Source organism: Homo sapiens, chromosome 3, assembly GCF_000001405.40.
Source record: "Homo sapiens chromosome 3, GRCh38.p14 Primary Assembly".
In the NCBI taxonomy this organism is placed as follows: domain Eukaryota; kingdom Metazoa; phylum Chordata; class Mammalia; order Primates; family Hominidae; genus Homo; species Homo sapiens.
This window is the reverse complement of record NC_000003.12, coordinates 12,350,830-12,369,567: the sequence shown is the minus strand read 5'-3', so window position 1 is coordinate 12,369,567 and position 18,738 is coordinate 12,350,830. Positions and strand designations below refer to the sequence as shown.

Genomic DNA, 18,738 nt, shown 5'->3' with positions numbered 1-18,738 from the left:
CCACAGTAAGAAGTCAATGGATAAGAATACAATTTTAAAAATAATAGTATAAGTTATTATTATTATAATTATTTTTGAGACAAGGTCTCTCTCTGTGGCCCAGGCTGTCGTGCTGTAACGCAATCACAGCTCACTGTAGCCTCAAACTCCCGGGCTCGAGAAATCCTCCAACTTCAGCCTCCCAAGTAGCTGGGACCACAGGCATGCACCACCACTGCTGGCTAATTTTTGTATTTTCTGTACTGATGAGGTTTCACCATGTTGCCCAGGCTGATCTCAAACTCCTGGGCTCAAGCGATGTGCCCATCTTGACCTACCAAAGTGTTGGGATTACAGGCGTGAGTCACTATGCCTGGCCATTAATGTAAGTATGTTATTCTAGAGATAGGAAGGTAAATGCCAGAAGAAATATGTGAAAGAGGTAAAATCACTGCCTATGAGGAGCGGGATTTAGCTGTGGGAATGAGTATCTCTTCTTCACTGAAAGCTGTAGCTGTGTACGAGTGTTATTTAGATAAAGGTAAAAATTAAGCTAAAATTCACTATCTTTTAATTATAATATCTTTCCATGATTTCTCCTAACAGAGGGAGTAACTCTATTTCTTACATGTGTTAAAGTCCTCTTAAAAGGAATTATCATGCAATCATCTGGAAAATTGGAGAAAATTTTAATGTAGTTTCAAGTAGAATGAAAGAAAATCAGAAAATGGTTTTGATGCTTCAGCCACAAATGGCTCTCCTTTTGACTCAAGCATTTAAAAAATAAATTCTACCAACTCACTTCTTTTCCTTCACATAGTATCCTGAGTTTTGTTTAGTGAAGGAGGAAAAGACTCTGGAACCCATCAGCAGAAATACAATTTAGTAACAATAGCTAACAATTATTAAGTGCTTGTTGTAAACAGTCCTATGTTGTTATACACAAGTATTATTACCACCTAACAGATTAAAAATATTAGACATAAAAAGGTTAAGTGACTTGCCCAATGTTAAATAGGTATTGGGGCTAGAGTTTAAATTCTGTCATGGTTTCTCTGAATATAGAATCTTTTATTTTGGGCACCATGAATTAAGAAAATGATTAGAGGCTGGGCGTGGTGGCTCACGTTTGTAATCCCAGCACTTTGGGAAGACAAGGTGGGAGGATCACCTGAGGTCAGGAGTTCGAGACCAGCCTGGCCTACATGGTGAAACCCTGTCTCTACCAAAAATACAAAAATTAGCCGGGCGTGGTGGCGCAGGCCTGTAGTCCCAGCTACTTGGGAGACTGAGGCAGGAGAATCACTTGAACTCGGGAGATGGAGGTTGCAGTGAGCCGAGTTCATGCCAGTGCACTCCAGCCTGGGCAACAGAGAGAGACACTGTCTGAAAAAAAAACAAAAAAGAAAAAGAAAAAAATGAAAACTATTAGAAATTAACTATTTGGTGTGTCATTTGCTTCTTCAATATAAACAAATGTATTTTCATTTTATTGTCTACTTAGACTATATTCAAAACCAAATTCAATGTTTCTGAAGTTTGATTTCCCATTGATAGCTTTGAGATTGAAACATTCCAATATGTATCTTTAGATGCAAATTTCTTTATAATAAGCCAGAAGGTCTCACAGGAAATTTTCAAATTCAGATCAACAAAGGGTATTAGAAAGACCATGTTTTTTATTATATTTTATTTAATTTTACTATTATTTTTTGAGGCAGGGTCTCACTCTGTCATGCAGGCTGGAGTGCAGTGGCACAATTATGGTTCACTGAAGCCTCGACCTCCCTGTGCTGAAGTGATCCTTCCACTTCAGCCTTCCAAGTAGCTGGGACCACAGGCATTCACCACCACATTCATCTAATTTTTTTATTTTTATTTTTTTATTTTTATTTTTTTTTTTGTAGAGGCAAGGTATCATTATGTTGCCCAGGCTATTCTCAAACTCCCGGACTCAAGCAATCCTCCCGCCTCAGCCTCCCAAAGTGTTGGGATTACAGGCATGAGTCACTATGCTTGGCCCATGTTCATTTTCAAAAGCATATTTCCTCTTGCATGAGCCACATCTTGTCTAGGGAGTTTGCTTACGCTGGTCCTGAGGTATCAGGACACAGAAAAGATTACAGGATTATGCCCTCACCAATATAAACATTTCTTCTGCTTCCTCAGCAAAAATTCATTATGGTCAAACTAGCTCAAGCTTGGTTCCTCTGCTAAAAGTACCTTCATATATTTCTAAAGGGAGATATTACTAATAATCTGATTAGGACTAAGGCTAAATCTGTTGAACAGTTGCTTTGGTTTAGTTGAAATTCTACTTTGTCTAGTACGTGAAGAATGAATGAAAGTTATTCAGAAATGAAAGAGGGGTATCATTACAGATCTCATTGACATTAAAGGATAATAGGCTCTATGCTCACAAATTTGATAATCTAGGTGAAATGAACTCATTCCTTGAAAGACATAATTTTCCAAAACTCATACAAGATGAAATAGAGAAATGGAATAGGCCTACATTTATTAATGAAATTGAATCAATAACTAATAACCTTCTGAAACAGAAGGCACCGGACTGGGTTCACTGGTGAATTCTACCAAACATTTAAGGAAGAAATTATACCAATTCTCTGAAATCTCTTTCAGAATATAAAAGCAGAGGGAATACTTCCTAACTCATTCAATGAGGCTAGAATTACCCTAATACTAAAACAAAACAGACATTACAAGGAAAATAAACCCTATAGACCAATCTCTCATGGACAGACATGCAGAAATCTTTAACAAAATATCAGCAAATTGAATCCGATAATGTATGAAAAGAATTATACACCATGGCCAAGTGAGATTTAGCTAAGGTATGTGGGGTTGGTTCAACATTAGAAAACAAATTAATGTAATCCATCACACCCATAGCCTAAAGAAGAAAAATCACATGATCATATCAATAAATGCAGAAAAAGAATTTGACAAAATAAGAAAACTTCCTAAACTTAGGAACATCTACAAACAAAACATATAGTTAACATCATAAGTAATGGTGAGAAACTCAAGCTTTCCCACTAAGATTAGGAATAAGGCAAGGATATCTTCTCTCACTACTGCTTTTCAACATCATACTAGAAGTCTTAGCTAACGTAACAAGACAAGAAAAGGAAATAAAAGGGATACAGATTGGGAAGGTAAAAATAAAACTGTCTTTGTTTGCAAATGACATGACTTCTACATAAAAAAATCCAAAAGAACAGAAAAAAAAAAAATCTCCTGGACCTAGTAAGTGATTATAGCAAGGTTGCAGGATACAAGGTTAATATACAAAAGTCATAATGCTTTCCTATATACCAGCAATGAACAAGCGAAATTTAATATTAAAAACACATTACCCCCAAACAGACATTACATTTTCCTCATAATGTCTGTTTTGTTTTACATTAGCACCCCGAAAAGTAAAATACTTAAGTATAAATTTAATAAAATATATATGAAACCTATATAGGAAAACTACAAAACTCTGATGAAAGATATCAAAGAATGAAATAAATGGAGAGACACTGCATGCTCATGGATAGGAAGACTCAGTATTGTCAAGATGTCATTCATCCCAACTTGATCTATAGATTCAATGCAATCACAATAACAATCCCAGCAAGTTATTTTGTGGATATTGGCAAACTGGTTCTGCAGTTTATATGGAGAAGCAAAAGACCCGTAATAGCCAACTCAATATTAAAGAAGAAGAATAAAGTCGAAGGACTGACATTACCTGACTTCAAGCCTTACTAGAAAGTTAAAGTAATTAAGATAGTACGGTACTGGCAAAAGAATAGACAAATAGATCAAAGGAACAGAATACAGAGCCCAGAAATAGGACCACATAAATGTAGTCAGCTGATCTTTGATGAAGAAACCAGGGTAATACACTGGAGCAAAGACAGTCTTTTCAACAACTGGGACTGGAGCAACTGGACATCCACATGCAAAAAAATATAATAATAACAATAATAATAATAATAATTTAGACACAGAGCTTATTCTCTTCATAAAAATTAACTCAAAATGGAACATAGATCTAAATGTAAAGTACAAAACTATAAAACTCCCTGAAGACAATATAGGAGAAAACCTAGATGACCTTGAGCACGGATAGGACTTTTTAGATACACCACCAGAGACATGAACCATGAAATAACTGATTATCTGGACTTCATTAAAATAAAAAAAGTCTGCTCTGTGCAAAACAGTGTCAAGAGAATGAGTAAACAAGCCACAGATGGGGAGAATGTATCTGTACAAAACACATCTGATAAAGCAGGGGTTCCCAACCTCCAGGTCCAGACCAGTACCAGTCCATGGCCTGGGAGGAATCAGGCTGCACAGCAGGTGAACTGCTGATGGGCAAGCATTATAGCCTGAGCTCCACCTCCTGTCAGATCAGTGGCTGCATTAGATTCTCATAGGACCACAAACCCTATTGTGAACTGTGCACGCAAGGGATCTAGGTTGCACACTCCGTATGAGAATCTAATACCTGATGATCTGAGGTGGACCAGTTTCACCTGAAACCATTCCTGCCCACCCCAGTCCATGGAAAAACTGTCTTCCATGAAACTGGTCCCTGGTGCCAAAAAGGTCAGGGACTACTGTGATAAAGGACTGTTATCCAAAATATACAAAGAACGCTTAAAACTCAATAATAAGAAAGTGAATAACCCTGTTTTAAAAATGAGCAAAATATCTGAATAGACACTTCATCCAAGAAGATATATAGATGGCATGTGAACATGTGAAAAGATCTTCAACATCATATGTCACGAGAGCACTGCAAACTAAAACAAGAAGATACCACTACAAATAGAATGGCTAAAATCTAAAACACTAACACCACCAAATGCTGATGAGGATGTGGAGCAACAGAAACTCTCATTCGTTGCTGATGAATGGTACAGCCACTTTGGAAGACAGTGTGGCCATTTCTTATAAAACTAAACATATTCTTACCATACAATCCAGTAATCACACTCCTTGGTAGGTACACAAATCAATTGAAAACTTAAGTCCACAAAAAACCCACACACAGGTGTTTATAGCATCTCTATTCATAATTGCCAAAACTTGGAAGCACCAAGACACCCTTCAGTAGCTGAGTGGATAAACTATGGCTCATCCAAACAATGAAATATTACTCAGTTCTGCAAAGAAATGAGCTATCAAGCCATGGAAAGACATGGAAGAACCTTAAGTGCATATTGGTAAGTGAAAGAAGTCAAACTGAAAAGGCCACATACTGTATGGTTCCAACTATATGATATTCTGGGAAGCGCAAAACTATCAAAACAGGAAAAAGATCAGTGGTAGTCAGAAGTTTGGGGGAGAACGGAATGAACAGGTGGATCCCAGAGGATTTTTAGGTCAGTGAAAATATTCTGTATGACACTACAATGGTGGATATGTGTCCTTATACATTTGTACAAACCCAGAGAATATAACACGAAGAGTGAATCTTAATGTAGACTATGGACTTTGAGTGATAATGATGTGTCAGTGGGGGTTTATTGACTGTTAACAAGTGTACCACTTGGGTGCAGGATGTTGATAGTGGGGGAGATTGTGCGTGGTGGGGGACAGGAAGTATATGGGAACTCTTTGTACTTCCTACTCAATTCTGCTCTGAAACTAAAACTGCCCTAAAAATAAAGTTATTAATTAAAAAATAAAAAAGAAGAAGAACGGTGTTTAGATCAGAAAAAAGAAGCTGGAATGTTTTCCTCGGCTAGGTCCCCTTCCACGTTTTGGTTTTGGCTTTGCAGTGATAGGGGAATGAAAATAGGGGAGAGGAGAGGAAAAGGAAAAATGAAAGGAATGATCCAGAAGAGTGTGTAATGACTCAGAAAGGAGGGAGCCACCGCAGATCTGCCAGAGTACTGTTTCCCTGCTGTGCCCACCTTCAAACACTATAAAGGACTTACTGCAAATGGGAAAAGACAGATGGGGTCAGGGTTTTAAATCATACTTTACCACTGAAGGTCCTCTAGTAGCTTGGCATTACCATAGGGGGAAAGCCACTTTCTTACTCAGAGTTGTTTAGTCTGGCAAACCATGTGACACTCTATGCTCTTTTGAAATTATGTTTTCAACTTACTGTGTCAAGCACTCTTAATGAGAAGACAAGGGTCTTAAGCTAAACAGATACTGAGAACAAAAGTGTCAAAACAGATACAGCCAGATCTCTAGTGGTTATGAGCTGATTTGAAGATTTTCATTAGTTATACCATATAGTATCTTCAAATGTATTACAATATGATATTAAAGTATACATAGTAGACACTTTTCATACTTTTAATCTTTCTCCTGAGCACTATAAAAAATATTCTAGGCTAGATACAGTGGCTCACACCTGTAATCCCAGCACTTTGGGAGGCCAAGGTGGGAGGATTACTTGAGCCTAAGAGTTCAAGACCAGCCTAGACAACACAGTGAGACCCTGTCTCTATAACAATTTTTTAAAAATTAGCTGGGTGTGGTGATGTGCTGTGGTCCCAGCTACTGGAAGAGGCTGAGGTGGGAGGATCACTTGAGCCCAGGAGGTTGAGGCTGCAATGCACCATGATCCAGCTTGGAGACAAAGTGAGACCCTGTCTCAAAAACAACCACCACCACAACAAACTATGAAAGCATTTGATATAATTCAACATTCACTCATAATTTTTTTTTTAAATAAAAAACCTCTTAGGAAGGAAAGGGAACTTCATTAGTCTGCTAAAGAAAATCTATAAAAAACAAACAAATAAACAAACAAAAATCCTAGAGTAGCCATCATACCTGATGGTGAAATATTTAAAGCCTTCCTCTTGAGATCAGCAACAAGGTAATGATACTATCATTACTTCTACTCACCACTGTACTGGAAATCCATCCAATGCAACAAAGGAAAAAGACAAAGAATAATTGGAAAAGAAGAAATAAAACTAAAACTAACATTACTTACAGATGACATGACTGTATTTTGTTGTTGTTGTTCGTTTTATTTATTTATTTATTTATTTATTTATTTATTTATTTATTTATTTATTTTTGAGACGAAGTCTCACTCTGTTGCCCAGGCTGGAGTACAGTGGCATTATCTTAGCTCACTCCAACGTCCACCTCTGGCATTAGGGCAATTCTCCTGCCTCAGCCTCCCAAGTAGCTGGGATTACAGGGGCATGCCACCATGCCTGGCTAATTTTTCGTATTTTTAGTAGAGACAGGGTTTCACTATGCTGGCCAGGCTGGTCTCGAACTCCTGAGCTCAAAGTGATCCACCCACCTCAGCCTCCCAAAGTTCTGGGATTACAGGCATGAGCCACCATGTTAGGCAGACTGTGTTTTTAAAAATCCACAAAAAAACTCATTATAGTTAATAAAATAATTTAGCAAAGTTGCTGGGTACAAGGTCAATATTCAAAAACCAATTATATTTCTATAAGCCAGCAACAAGTAGAAAATGAAATTTAAAAATTATTTTTGCAACAGCATTAAAACAATCAAATACCCAGGGGAAAAAATCTAACAAAATATGTGTAAGATCTCCATAATGAAAACTCAAATATACTATTTAAAAAAATTAAAGAATAAATAAGTGAAAGGATAGTTCATGTTCATGGATTGAAGGACTCAATATTGTAAAGCTTTCAATTATCTCCCAATTTATCTATAGATTCAGAACAATTCCAATCAAAATCTCGGCACTTTTGTGTGGTAATTGATATGCTGAGTCTAAAATTTATAAGGAAATTCAAGAGGCCAAGTGGCAAGGAAATCTTGAAGGGGAAGAGCAACGCTGGAGGATTTATACTACCAGATATCAAACTATTTATAAAGTTACAGTACTTAAGGCAATCTTAATTGGTGCAAAAATACAATGCAATAGAAGAGTAAGTCCAGAATAAATCCCAGACCTATATGGTCACCTGGTTTATGACAGAAATGTCACTGCTGGGGAGTGGGCAAAGGATGATCTTTTCAATAAACGAAGCAGGTCAACTGGATATCCCCATGAAAGAGATAAACCCTTGCCTTACAACATACACAAAAGTCAATTCTGTGTGGATTATGGATCTAAATGTGAAATATAAAACCAGAAAACTTTTAAAATAAAAACACACTTTATCAACCTTGGAGTAGGCAAAGCTTTCTTCCAAAGGATATAAAAAGCACTTACTGTAAAAGAAAAATCTAGTATATCAGACTATATTGATTAGAAATATCTGTTTATTAAGTAAACGAAAAAGCACACAGAGTAAGAGGAGATATTTACAATACATGTATCTGACAAGGTATGCTTTAGAACGTTTACCTAAAGTACTCAATATAAAAATGGGTGAAAGACTTGAACAGGTACTTTACAAGAAAGGATAGCCAAATGGACAACAAACGCTTTTTAAAGTGTTTAACTTTTTAGACATCAGAAAAGGGGAGATTAAAATTAGAATATGATACCAACACACCCATCAGAATGGCTAACGTGAAAAAGACAGAGAATGCCAAGTACCAGTGATGGTGTAGAAGAGCTAGAACACTCATGCACTTCTAGTAGAAGTATAGATTTCTAGAGTCCTGTTCAGAACTGTTGGCAACGTCTCCTGAAGCTCAACATACTCTATTATTGGCTGAAGCATATAGCTACCAGAAATGCATACGCTCCTTCACTAAGAGACCTACAGGACAATGTTCATAGCAGTACTATTTGCAATACTGAAAACCATCTGAATGCCCATCAACAGTAGGATAAATATGTTGTGATATATTTATACAATGAAACACTATACAGTAATGAGAATGAAGTACAATTACATTCAATAGTGTGATTAATCTCACGAATAAATGCTAAGCAAAAGAATCCAGACACAAAAGAGTAAACAATGTGTAATTTTATTTATATAAAATTCAAAACTGGGCAAAACTTAACAATGAGTTAGAAATTAGAATAGTCAGAGGGCTTCTGGAGTGCTGGTATTGTTCTGTTTTTTTTTTTTTTTGTCTGGGTGCTAATTTCGCAAGTATGTTCACTTGTGAAAATGATTTGGACATTTTTCCTCTAAGTATATTATACTTCAATAAAAGAGTTAATTAAGAGAGAATGTTCCATATGGGTCCTAGGAGTGGGGGATGACAGAAGGAAACATGCAGACAAACCAAGTAAGCCAACAAAAACTCTTCCAGTTGTGTTAAAAGGATTGTCATAGAATTTTAGGACATTCACTTAAAAATTATTCAATTCAGAACTCATAAAACAGTATTAAGGCCAGCCATGGTGGCTCACATCTGTAATCCCAGCACTTTGGGAAGCCAAGATGGGAGGACCACTTGAGGCCAGAGTTCGAAACCAGTCTGAACAACATAGCCAGACCGTGTCTCTATTAAAAAATAACAAAAAGAGCAAAAAGAAAGAAGAGAAAAACTGTATTAAAATTATTCTTTTTTAAAAACCAACACAAGTATTTTAATAAACTATCTGTTTTTGTAACCAGCTTCCTTGCACAGTGAAGGCTAAATACATATTCAACCAAGGACTTCAAATCAGTGTAAATGGCGGAAGTAAAAATTCAAAGGGTGTACATTTTATCTAAAAGAGTGAAGCAGGCTGGGCATAGTGGCTCACATCTGCAATCCAGCACTTTGAAAAGTGCAGGCAGTCGGATCACTTGAGATCAGGAGTTTGAGACCACCCTGCCAACATGGTGAAACCCCGTCTCTACTAAAAATACAAAATTAGCCAGGCGTGGTGGTGGGTGCCTCTAATCCCAGTTACTCGGGAGGCTGAGGCAGGAGGATTGTGTGAACCCAGGGGGCAGAGGTTGCAGTGAGCTGAGACGGCGCCACTGCACTTCAGCCTGGGTGACAGAGTGAGACTCTGTCTCAAAAAAAAAAAAAAAAAAGAAATAAAAGAGTAAGTAGGAAAAGTTTTGTTTTTGCTTTAGAACTGATATATTTGGCTTGTATATAAGGCCTATTCTGCTTTACAAGGACACTGTATTTTTAAACAATGCAGGAATTTTTTTCCCCAAATTCTGAGGCCTACGTCAAGAGTCTTGTGTTTGGGAAGTTACTATGTTTGGATCAGCTGAGTAGTCTTTTGAGGCATTCCATTTAAATTAAATAAAGTTGGGGGTTAAATCCATTCAAGCTACCCATTTTTTTATAATGTTTTCTTTGTATCAACAATCTATTTTATAAACCTTGCTTCTTAGAAGTTACCATCATATTTTACTAGTGTGTTTCTCTTTTCCAAACTTCCTCATTTTATTTTCTTTGGCATTTTTCTTTCTCTATATCTTCAGCTCAGTAAATGTTCAATCAGTAATCTAAAACCTTAAATCAAGATAGCTAATCACCTAATACTACGTGCAAGGTGTTTTTCAGGCCTTACAAGAAACACATAGTATTGTGGTTCTTGAGAAGCTTACCAAGGTGAGAGATGTTTAGTAGCAGAAGGAAGTACAGAGACCAGACTCGTGATAGAGATAGTAAGTACTTTAGAAATGTGGAAAAGAAAGATACTAACATGTCCTGAAATAATCAGGGATAGCTTTCTGGTAGACATGGTGTCCAAATTATGTGGAGCCATTGGGATGATCAAGATTTGGATGGTCATTCATATTGAAATCCCAAGAAAAAGGTACATGTCCCTGTCATCAACGTGCCCCTTATATTACATGATATTGCTTAAGAAATAATACTAAGTGTATATAATAGCAAAGGTGATGAGATTTTGTATATGGCATATACCTGAAAATTGAGTTGGTTTCTCCTGAGTTAACTGTTTACATATCTTGGGTAATTGTGGCTAGAAATGTGACTGTATCAATGGCAAACAGAACTCTTTGTAAATGGCAAAGACTTCTGTGTAAATCTGGCCAACCCATTATCAAACTCACTTTGGCTCTTATTAGCATCATATTTTAATCCACTAAGCAAACTTGCTCAATCTATCTAATAGGTCTATAATTTTATTTACAAAACTAAAGGCAGGGCTTTAGGTAAAGTATAGATAATAGTAAGATAATGTCCAGTGAACTTAAATCAGGCATACTTTATTGCTAATGCAAGCAAAATAATAAGAATAATGAGAATATTTTACTTTTTCCTAAAGATCTGACTTAAAAGACCCAAGGGGAGACATTATGTCTGTATTAACTTCCATTTTAAAGATGAGAAGAAGACAGAACTGACGTGTTTGGCACCTATTACATATCAGGCAATTAATACTTTAAGTGCTTCATATATTAGATATTAGCTAATTAAATAAGCTACTCTTTTTTAAACATTGCTAGCAAATAAGTGTTTTGGATGTTCAAATAAATAATGGAAGTATCAAAAGGTGGGTAGATTTGCAGAAGAAGCCAGGGATTTGGGTAACTCACAAACAAATGATGTTTAAATTAATATTCAAATGATATTCAATGAATGCTACTCAAACTAATGGAGGGACACGGTGCAAATTAACTAACAGATAATTCAAAACATATTTGTGCCTGGTTTGTAGCATATCCAGTACTTGGTTTGTTTATATTAGCATTGGTTTTAGAATAATATTTAACATACACTAAAATTTTGTATTTATTTGCTAAATATATTCCAGTCTCTGACCTTAGGAGATCAGCTTGGTATTAATAAGTCAACAAGACCTGATTATACTTATTATGTGTTTGGCATTTGTGGAATATAGAATAAAACATGGATCTTTTCTTCAGTGACTATATGATTTGGCTTAGGGAATACATAAAACAGGAAATAATACCAGACAGTTTGAACTCAGGGCTAAATTGTGTGATAGAAGCCGTAAGTGTTAGAGGATTCTATTCTTTCATTTAGCAAGTATTAATGAGCAATACTATTCAGGTATTTGGAATACATCAGTGGGTGAACAAACTAGACAAAGATCTCTGCCTTCATGCGGTTAACATTCCAGGGAGGTGAAGCAGACAGTAAGCAATACATAGAATCCACCAATAAATTACATGGCATGTTAGAAGACGATAAATGCTTTTTAAATAGGAAATTGTAGAGTAGAGGAGGAAGGGCAATGGGGAGGATATGTAATTCCCCTGTCCTAGGATAGGGAAGGCCAAGGTCACCCTCACTCTAAGGTAAGATTTGAGCCAAGATTATAGGGAATTGACAGAGGTGGCCCAGAGAATGCCAGAGGAAGAGGGTCCTGGACAGGAACAAGAGCTGGGGCAGGTGCACGAAGGCAGGAGAGCATCTGGAATGTGGAAGGAACAGCAAGGAGGCCGGCGTGCTTGGAGCAGAGTGGGTGGAAGAGAGAGAGAAGACCAGAGGGGTCAGCTGGGGTAGGGCAGGAGGTAGGGGCCAGACTTGGACTTTTGTTACAAGTGAAATGGGGAACCACTGCAGGGCTATGGGTGGAGTGACGGATCTGACTCACATTTGAGCATCATCTCTGTGGGTGACCGGTTGAGACTAGGCTGTTGTGAGGTTAGGATGGAAGCTGAAAACCCCATCAAGAGACTAGCAGCCAGGCACAGACGGTGTCCTGGACTGGGCTGAAGGCAGTGGAAGCGGCAGAAGAGAGATATTCTGAACACATTTTCAGTTTAGAGGAGAGAGGGAGCAATGAACAGCAATGAATTCAGAGAATGCTTCACGGAGTAGAGGTTACTTGAAGCTGACCTTGAAGGACAGGGACGATTTGAAAAGATGGAAGAATTAGGAAAGGCATTTCAAGACATACTAGGCTTGGAGCAAGGGTGGGTCGGCCTTACTCTTGGGACAAAGAGATTAGTGTGAACAGAGCAAGACAGGCCAATGCCTGGAATGTGGTGAGAAATAAGGTAAAATATATAAAATATGCCTGGATTATAAAGAGCTTTGAAAGCCAGGGAAAAAGTGTCTAGATTTCACAGCATTCACTATGGTGCCTTGAAAATCGGCACTCAATAAATATTATTAGACTGATAATAAAGATAGGCATTTTAGGACTATTGGCAGTTTGCACTGGATGGCAAAGTTTCTCATTTAGAAGGTCAGCTAAAAGGCCATATAAAAACCTGGCATGAGGTGATGAGGAATAATTCCCTTGTAGGCAATTGACAGTTGACTGTTTTAAATCTGCTTTACAGTGTTAACCACAAGTGCCATTCACCACTTGTGGGAACCTCGATCTTGTGTTGGCAATCCCTTGCTCAAATAAAAATTACACGGTTTAAAACACTGTGTACTCAAATAGCCACGTGATCTTGATTCTGAGGTTATAAGAGTTGGATGGCAGTTGCTATCAGTTACATGTGCAATTTCTTCGTCTTTAAATTAGTTACAGGTGCAAAACTGCTTTTACCAAAACAAAAAACAAAAAACAAAAAAAAGACAATCTGGTAAAACTTTACAGAAACTTAATTCCATTCAAACGAGTCTAATTCATTATCACCTATATTTTCACAAATATTCAGCACTAGTAGATGGATATGAAGCATTTACTGGACAACCTCTAGTGCCTATTTTAAGCGTCCAAAGGGAGCTAACAGGACAGAAGCTCTGTATCACTTTTGTTGATCTAAGATAATGAAGAAATTTACTTTGCTCAGATTTCCTCTGTCTCAAGGAATATGTACCTAACGAAAGAGCTATGAAGATTTTAGAAATTTTCCCAGGATTATCCTAACAGAGTTATAAGTGAGAATGCTGACAAAAATAGTAATATATGACAACCTCTGTGAGAGGTATACAATTGTTTTTCATTTAATAACCAATTTTTATACTGCAATTGGCAGATTAAATGGATAGCTGCTGTCAGGGAGCTTTCAAGACAAGTTGTATTCCTTAGAGATAGTAGGGGAAAATAAAATTAAAAATGAAACCCTGTATTTTCTTGTAAACAGCTAATGTAAATGATACTTCTTTGGGGTGTTTCCTATAATTCATAATTTTGGAGGAAAGTATGAGACAAATGACAGTTTTCAGAAAAACAGTGATTTTCAGAGTTTAGAAATCTACAAAATCTGCCAAGTACTGGTGATGAAAAAAGAGGTTAATCAGAGTTAAGTCAGAAAAAAATGATAAAGCTAGAGCCATACTCAGAAAAAAATTAATATGGACAAGAGTAATATTCAAGAAAAAGGTCTTGAATTCTAATTACACGTGAAATTATGGAATTCAGGGGCAGGCTGCGATGGCTCACGCCTGTAATCCCAGCACTTTGGGAGGTCGAGGCGGGAGAATTCCTTGAGCCCAGGAGTTCAAGACCAGCTTGGACAACATGGTGAAATCCTGTCTCTATAAAAATTACAAAAATTTGCTGGGTGTGGTAAGGTACGCCTGTAGTCCCAGCTACTAGTGAGGCTGAGGTGGGAGGATCACCGAAGCCCAGGGAGGTTGAGGCTGTGGTGAAATATGATATCAGGCCTCTGCACTCTAGCCTGGGTGACAGAGTGAGGCTCTGTCTCAAAAAAAAAAGAAGATCTGTGTCAATAACTCAAATCTTTTCTGGACTTCTACTTCAGTGTACGAAAAACATTATAATCCAAGTTTCTCAATGCCTCTGAGAAGAAAACATGTAATTGTCACTTTTATTTAGGCCCAAAGAATAACTTCAATTTCTTCACAGGAAAATATTAATGAAAGTGGGAAATAATTTCATCATTTAAAAAAATTAGACACAAAGATGCTTTCTCTAAGTTTGATCATCTTCTCAAAACACTCACAGGAGATCATGCGGATGCCCCGCTTCATTCATATAACTGCCACTTACTCTTGTGCAATAAAGAGTTCTGCGGTTTTTGTTTTTCCATATCCATAAAGTGTTTAAAATGTAGGTTTCTTTTCTTTTTTTTTTTTTTTTTTGAGATGGAGTCTCGCTCTGTCGCCCAGGCTGGAGTGCAGTGGCGCAATCTCAGCCTCACTGCAACCTCTGCCTCCTGGGTTCACGCCATTCTCCTACCTCAGCCTCCTGAGTAGCTGGGACTACAGGCGCCCACCACCACGCCTGGCTAATTTTTTGTATTTTTAGTAGAGACAGGGTTTCATCGTGTTAGCCAGGATGGTCTTGACCTCTTGACCTCCTGACCTCGTGATCTGCCCGCCTCGGCCTCCCAAAGTTGTGGGATTACAGATGTGAGCCACTGTACCCAGCCTTTTCTTTTTTTAAACGGAGCCTTCTATTCTAGCCACAAGTGATTAACGCTACAAGGCTAAAGCAATAAATTCCATATAGGGCTTTAGATCTACTTGCACAAGTATTGTGTCATTTAATCCTCCCATTAATCCTGTGTATTCTGTTAATATATGTGGAAACAGAAGGCCAGAGAAGAAAAATGGCGTGCTTAAATTCACACAGCAAATATGTGGCCAACAAAGGACTGGTCCTTATATTCCCTGGTACTACATGGGTCCCTTTAAACTTCTGGAAAGGTGAAAACTTTGGTCAGTTATCTAAATGTTTCTGAATATACAGTTGCCTGGAGATATGTAACCACAGATTAAGTATCCCTCAATAAAAATGGCATGCAATCAATCACTCACTCCTATCTCAGGAGAGACTCGTTTTGAAGGATTGTCTATTGCAGCATTTATCATGTCTCTAAGGCATATTTCCATTGCTCAATCAGCTCCAAAGGACAAGTGTGTCATCATCTTTCAAGGCTCTGGTGCAACGACTTAAAATTGTAGAATTCACACAGGACTAAGTCTGGCACTAAAAGCAGGAGGCATATTCAGCTTGAGCTTGTGGAAGCTTCCCTTCAATCTTGCCAATTTTTACTAGTGGAAATGGTTTCAGAGCCAGCATGAGGTTACTTGGGGTTGCTTGAGGAGCTCTTGATAAAAAGAGAAAGGGGAATAATATAAAGGGGTCACAGCAATGATGGAGCCTTGGAAAAAGTATGGAAGTCCTCTTTGGGCATAGTGGCTAAGTGTAGTCGAGATTTTTAATCTCATGAATATGACCAATCTACCTGGATATCTGAGTCATTCACACTAAATGTGCCACTTTTTCTTAAATAGCAGTACCCAACCATTTGCAACACCCCCAATTTCACTTTGCCTATGATGAGGAAGAAGGAGCACCTAAGAGGACTACTGTACCCATGCCAAATACCTCAACTCCACAGTGTTCAACTCTGCTGGCCTCGGCTAATGATGATCATATAGCTAATTTATTTTTAAGTCTGTCTGTTTTGGAAGAGGTGGAGTAATTATTTAAAGGTCATTTACAAAATGCAATAGGAGTAACAATCATAGGTCTTGGGCCTTTAGGAGCTCACATTTTTAACAGAGAAACAGTGCTTATGAAGAAGTAGTAGCCAGAGACCCTATAAGACAAGGGTTAAATTATTGGTACAAAATATAATGTTTTAATTGCTAATAATTTCATTCTGCACTATGTTAATTAGGAAGAAAAGTACTGGATCATTCTTTTAGAGGAAATTGAGACTCAAAAAAATTAAACTCAGAGTAAATTCAAAGCATAAAATTAGAGATTAGCACAGAATGAAAACTAACTTGAATCACATAACCATCCCTTACCACAAACAGTACTTGCCTCTCAGTTAACCTATTTGTTGATATTTGTTGCACTGCATTCTAGACATGTTCTTTCAAAATAGACAAAACTATCAAATTTTGACTCAAGAACTATTTCACAGTATAGCCAGGACATTCTGCCCTGAGGCAGGCTAAATTAATAACTGAAGAAAGATAGCAACAATTTTTATGGCTTGCAGAAAAACAGAATAACAACAATTTATGGAATAAAACAAAACTCCTAGTTAAGAGGCTTAGATGATAGAAATACATGTTGAATCAAATTACTGTAATAAAATAAAACAGTACTTCAGGAAACATTTTCTTACTCATTTTTAAAAAGCTTTATATTTTAAAAACGGTGACTAATATGTTCAAACTTCAGGCTTCCAGGAAAATTAAAAGGTTAAAATGTAAAGCCATCCATTTCAGCAATTAAGTGACTTAATTTTAATGCTTTAGCACTTATATTATAAAACATGAATCACACTAGCTAACAATCTATTTTTACACAGAATCTGAGAAGAGAAAAATAAAATGAATAGAAATATAGACATCAATACGAGACAATACAAAACAGAAAAGGCTGTGCTAAGAAACTCCAGTAGAAGGAGCTATAGAAATGGAGAACTTATATTTTGCAATGGCCAAGAAAGAAATATTGAAAAGGAGGTATCTGATTCTGACACATCTGAAGAGAAGTTAATAGGTAGTCACTTGCAATAGGCATTTACTGTTTTAGGGACCTCATTTTCTTTATGCATAAAATGTGATGCTTGGAACAGATATTTTTCAAGGTTCCGACAATCTATTCTGCAATGCATTAGGCACTATGCTAGGAAGTATCCTAAGAAATCTAATAAAGAGCACCACTTGGTCCTACACTCTGGGAATTTACAATTCTTTGGGAGAGCTGAAGTGCACACACAATACCTAGATTTCAAAATAGAACAGAAAAGAGCTGAGAGTACTTCAAGAGGAATAAAAGTGCTGCAAGAGGGATAAAAACAGTTATGAGAGATCTCTAACATATGAGATGAAAAGAGGAAAAAGTGACCCTTCAAGTCTAAAAAGCCCTTATGTATTCTTGGGAAATCTATGCAAACTCAGGAAATAAAAATGAACAGGATTGTTTTTGGATATAACTATACCTTTAATGCTTAAAATTCAGGAAATGGGAGCCATGCACAGAGATAAAATAGATTAGGTTAGGTTTCCTTTTTTAAGGTTCTGAACATGTTTTTAAATGAACGCGATAGCAACGAGCTAAGCATTAAAATACTGGAGTGTACACATGATAGTATTAAAACAAACACAACCTGGAAGACAAACTACAAGAGCAATTTTACCCTTACATAAATGCCCCCACGTCCCCAATAGCCGTATCTGGAAGGAACTTTACCTTGTGATATGTTTGCAGACAGTGTATCAGTGAAGGAATCGCTTTCTGGGTCAATAGGAGAATCTCCCAGAGTTTCACCCATAACAGCATGGAATAGGGGTTTGCTGTAATTCACACTGATATTTTGTCTCTATCTAGCAAAAGATCAATCCGTTAAAAGAAAAAGACTTGAAGTAACAGAATTTGTGAATACACCCATGAGTCAAGACATCAGTTTCCAAATATTTGGGAGAGATGGGAATAAACACAGAAAGGACTGGGCTTGAATTGGCTGGCACTGTCCTATTAGGAGCCAGCTGTGACAAAAAGTTGTGTCATAATGTTCACTGCTTTGGCAAGACTTGGTACATTACAGGGAAAATATTGCCACACTGTCTCGCCGGTGACCCACATGTTCAGTGTCTTGTGAGGGGCGTGAACTGTACTGTATTTAGAATTATCAGAGCAGAGACTGTTCAATATCCACTTGCATTTTTTATTGTTGTAAAATTCACAATTGCTTCTTAAATGGAAAACTTAAATCTCTTGCTTATGAAATACCAGAAAGCTTATTTGGGCAAAGTTTTCTTTCGGTGTCTATTCCTGGTTGAATCTCTAATCACATTATTTGAAGAAAAATTTGGAATTCAAATATGTATCCATAGTTTAAACGTTGGTATCAGCATGCTACTGAAATGTTATATTCCTAAGGTACTTACTCTACTGATTTGTGAAGCCCAAAATGATACTGACTGCTATCTAAATTCTGTAAAATTAAATAGCTGAGAGAATGAAGAAGGGTTTGATATGGTTTCAATTTTATACATCGGGTTTGCTTTCTTAAAAACTTCAGCTTATCCATCAAT

The 18,738-nt window shown here is 37.1% G+C and overlaps 1 protein-coding gene across 16 annotated transcripts in view; it reads right to left on the bottom strand.

The window, feature by feature from the left end:
* The window catches only part of PPARG (peroxisome proliferator activated receptor gamma), a 146,977-nt gene that overhangs the window by 64,777 nt on the left and 63,462 nt on the right, over nucleotides 1–18,738 (bottom strand). For 3 of the 16 annotated variants that reach the window (NM_015869.5, NM_001374265.1, NM_001354668.2), the window contains exon 1: nucleotides 17,894–18,151. The exons of the other annotated variants lie outside the window; for them this stretch is intronic. In NM_015869.5, coding sequence (NP_056953.2) covers nucleotides 17,894–17,975 — 82 coding nt within the window. In that variant the 5' untranslated portion in view covers nucleotides 17,976–18,151. Of the gene's footprint in view, nucleotides 1–17,893; nucleotides 18,152–18,738 lie in introns of those variants that run through there. 16 annotated transcript variants of the gene reach the window in all.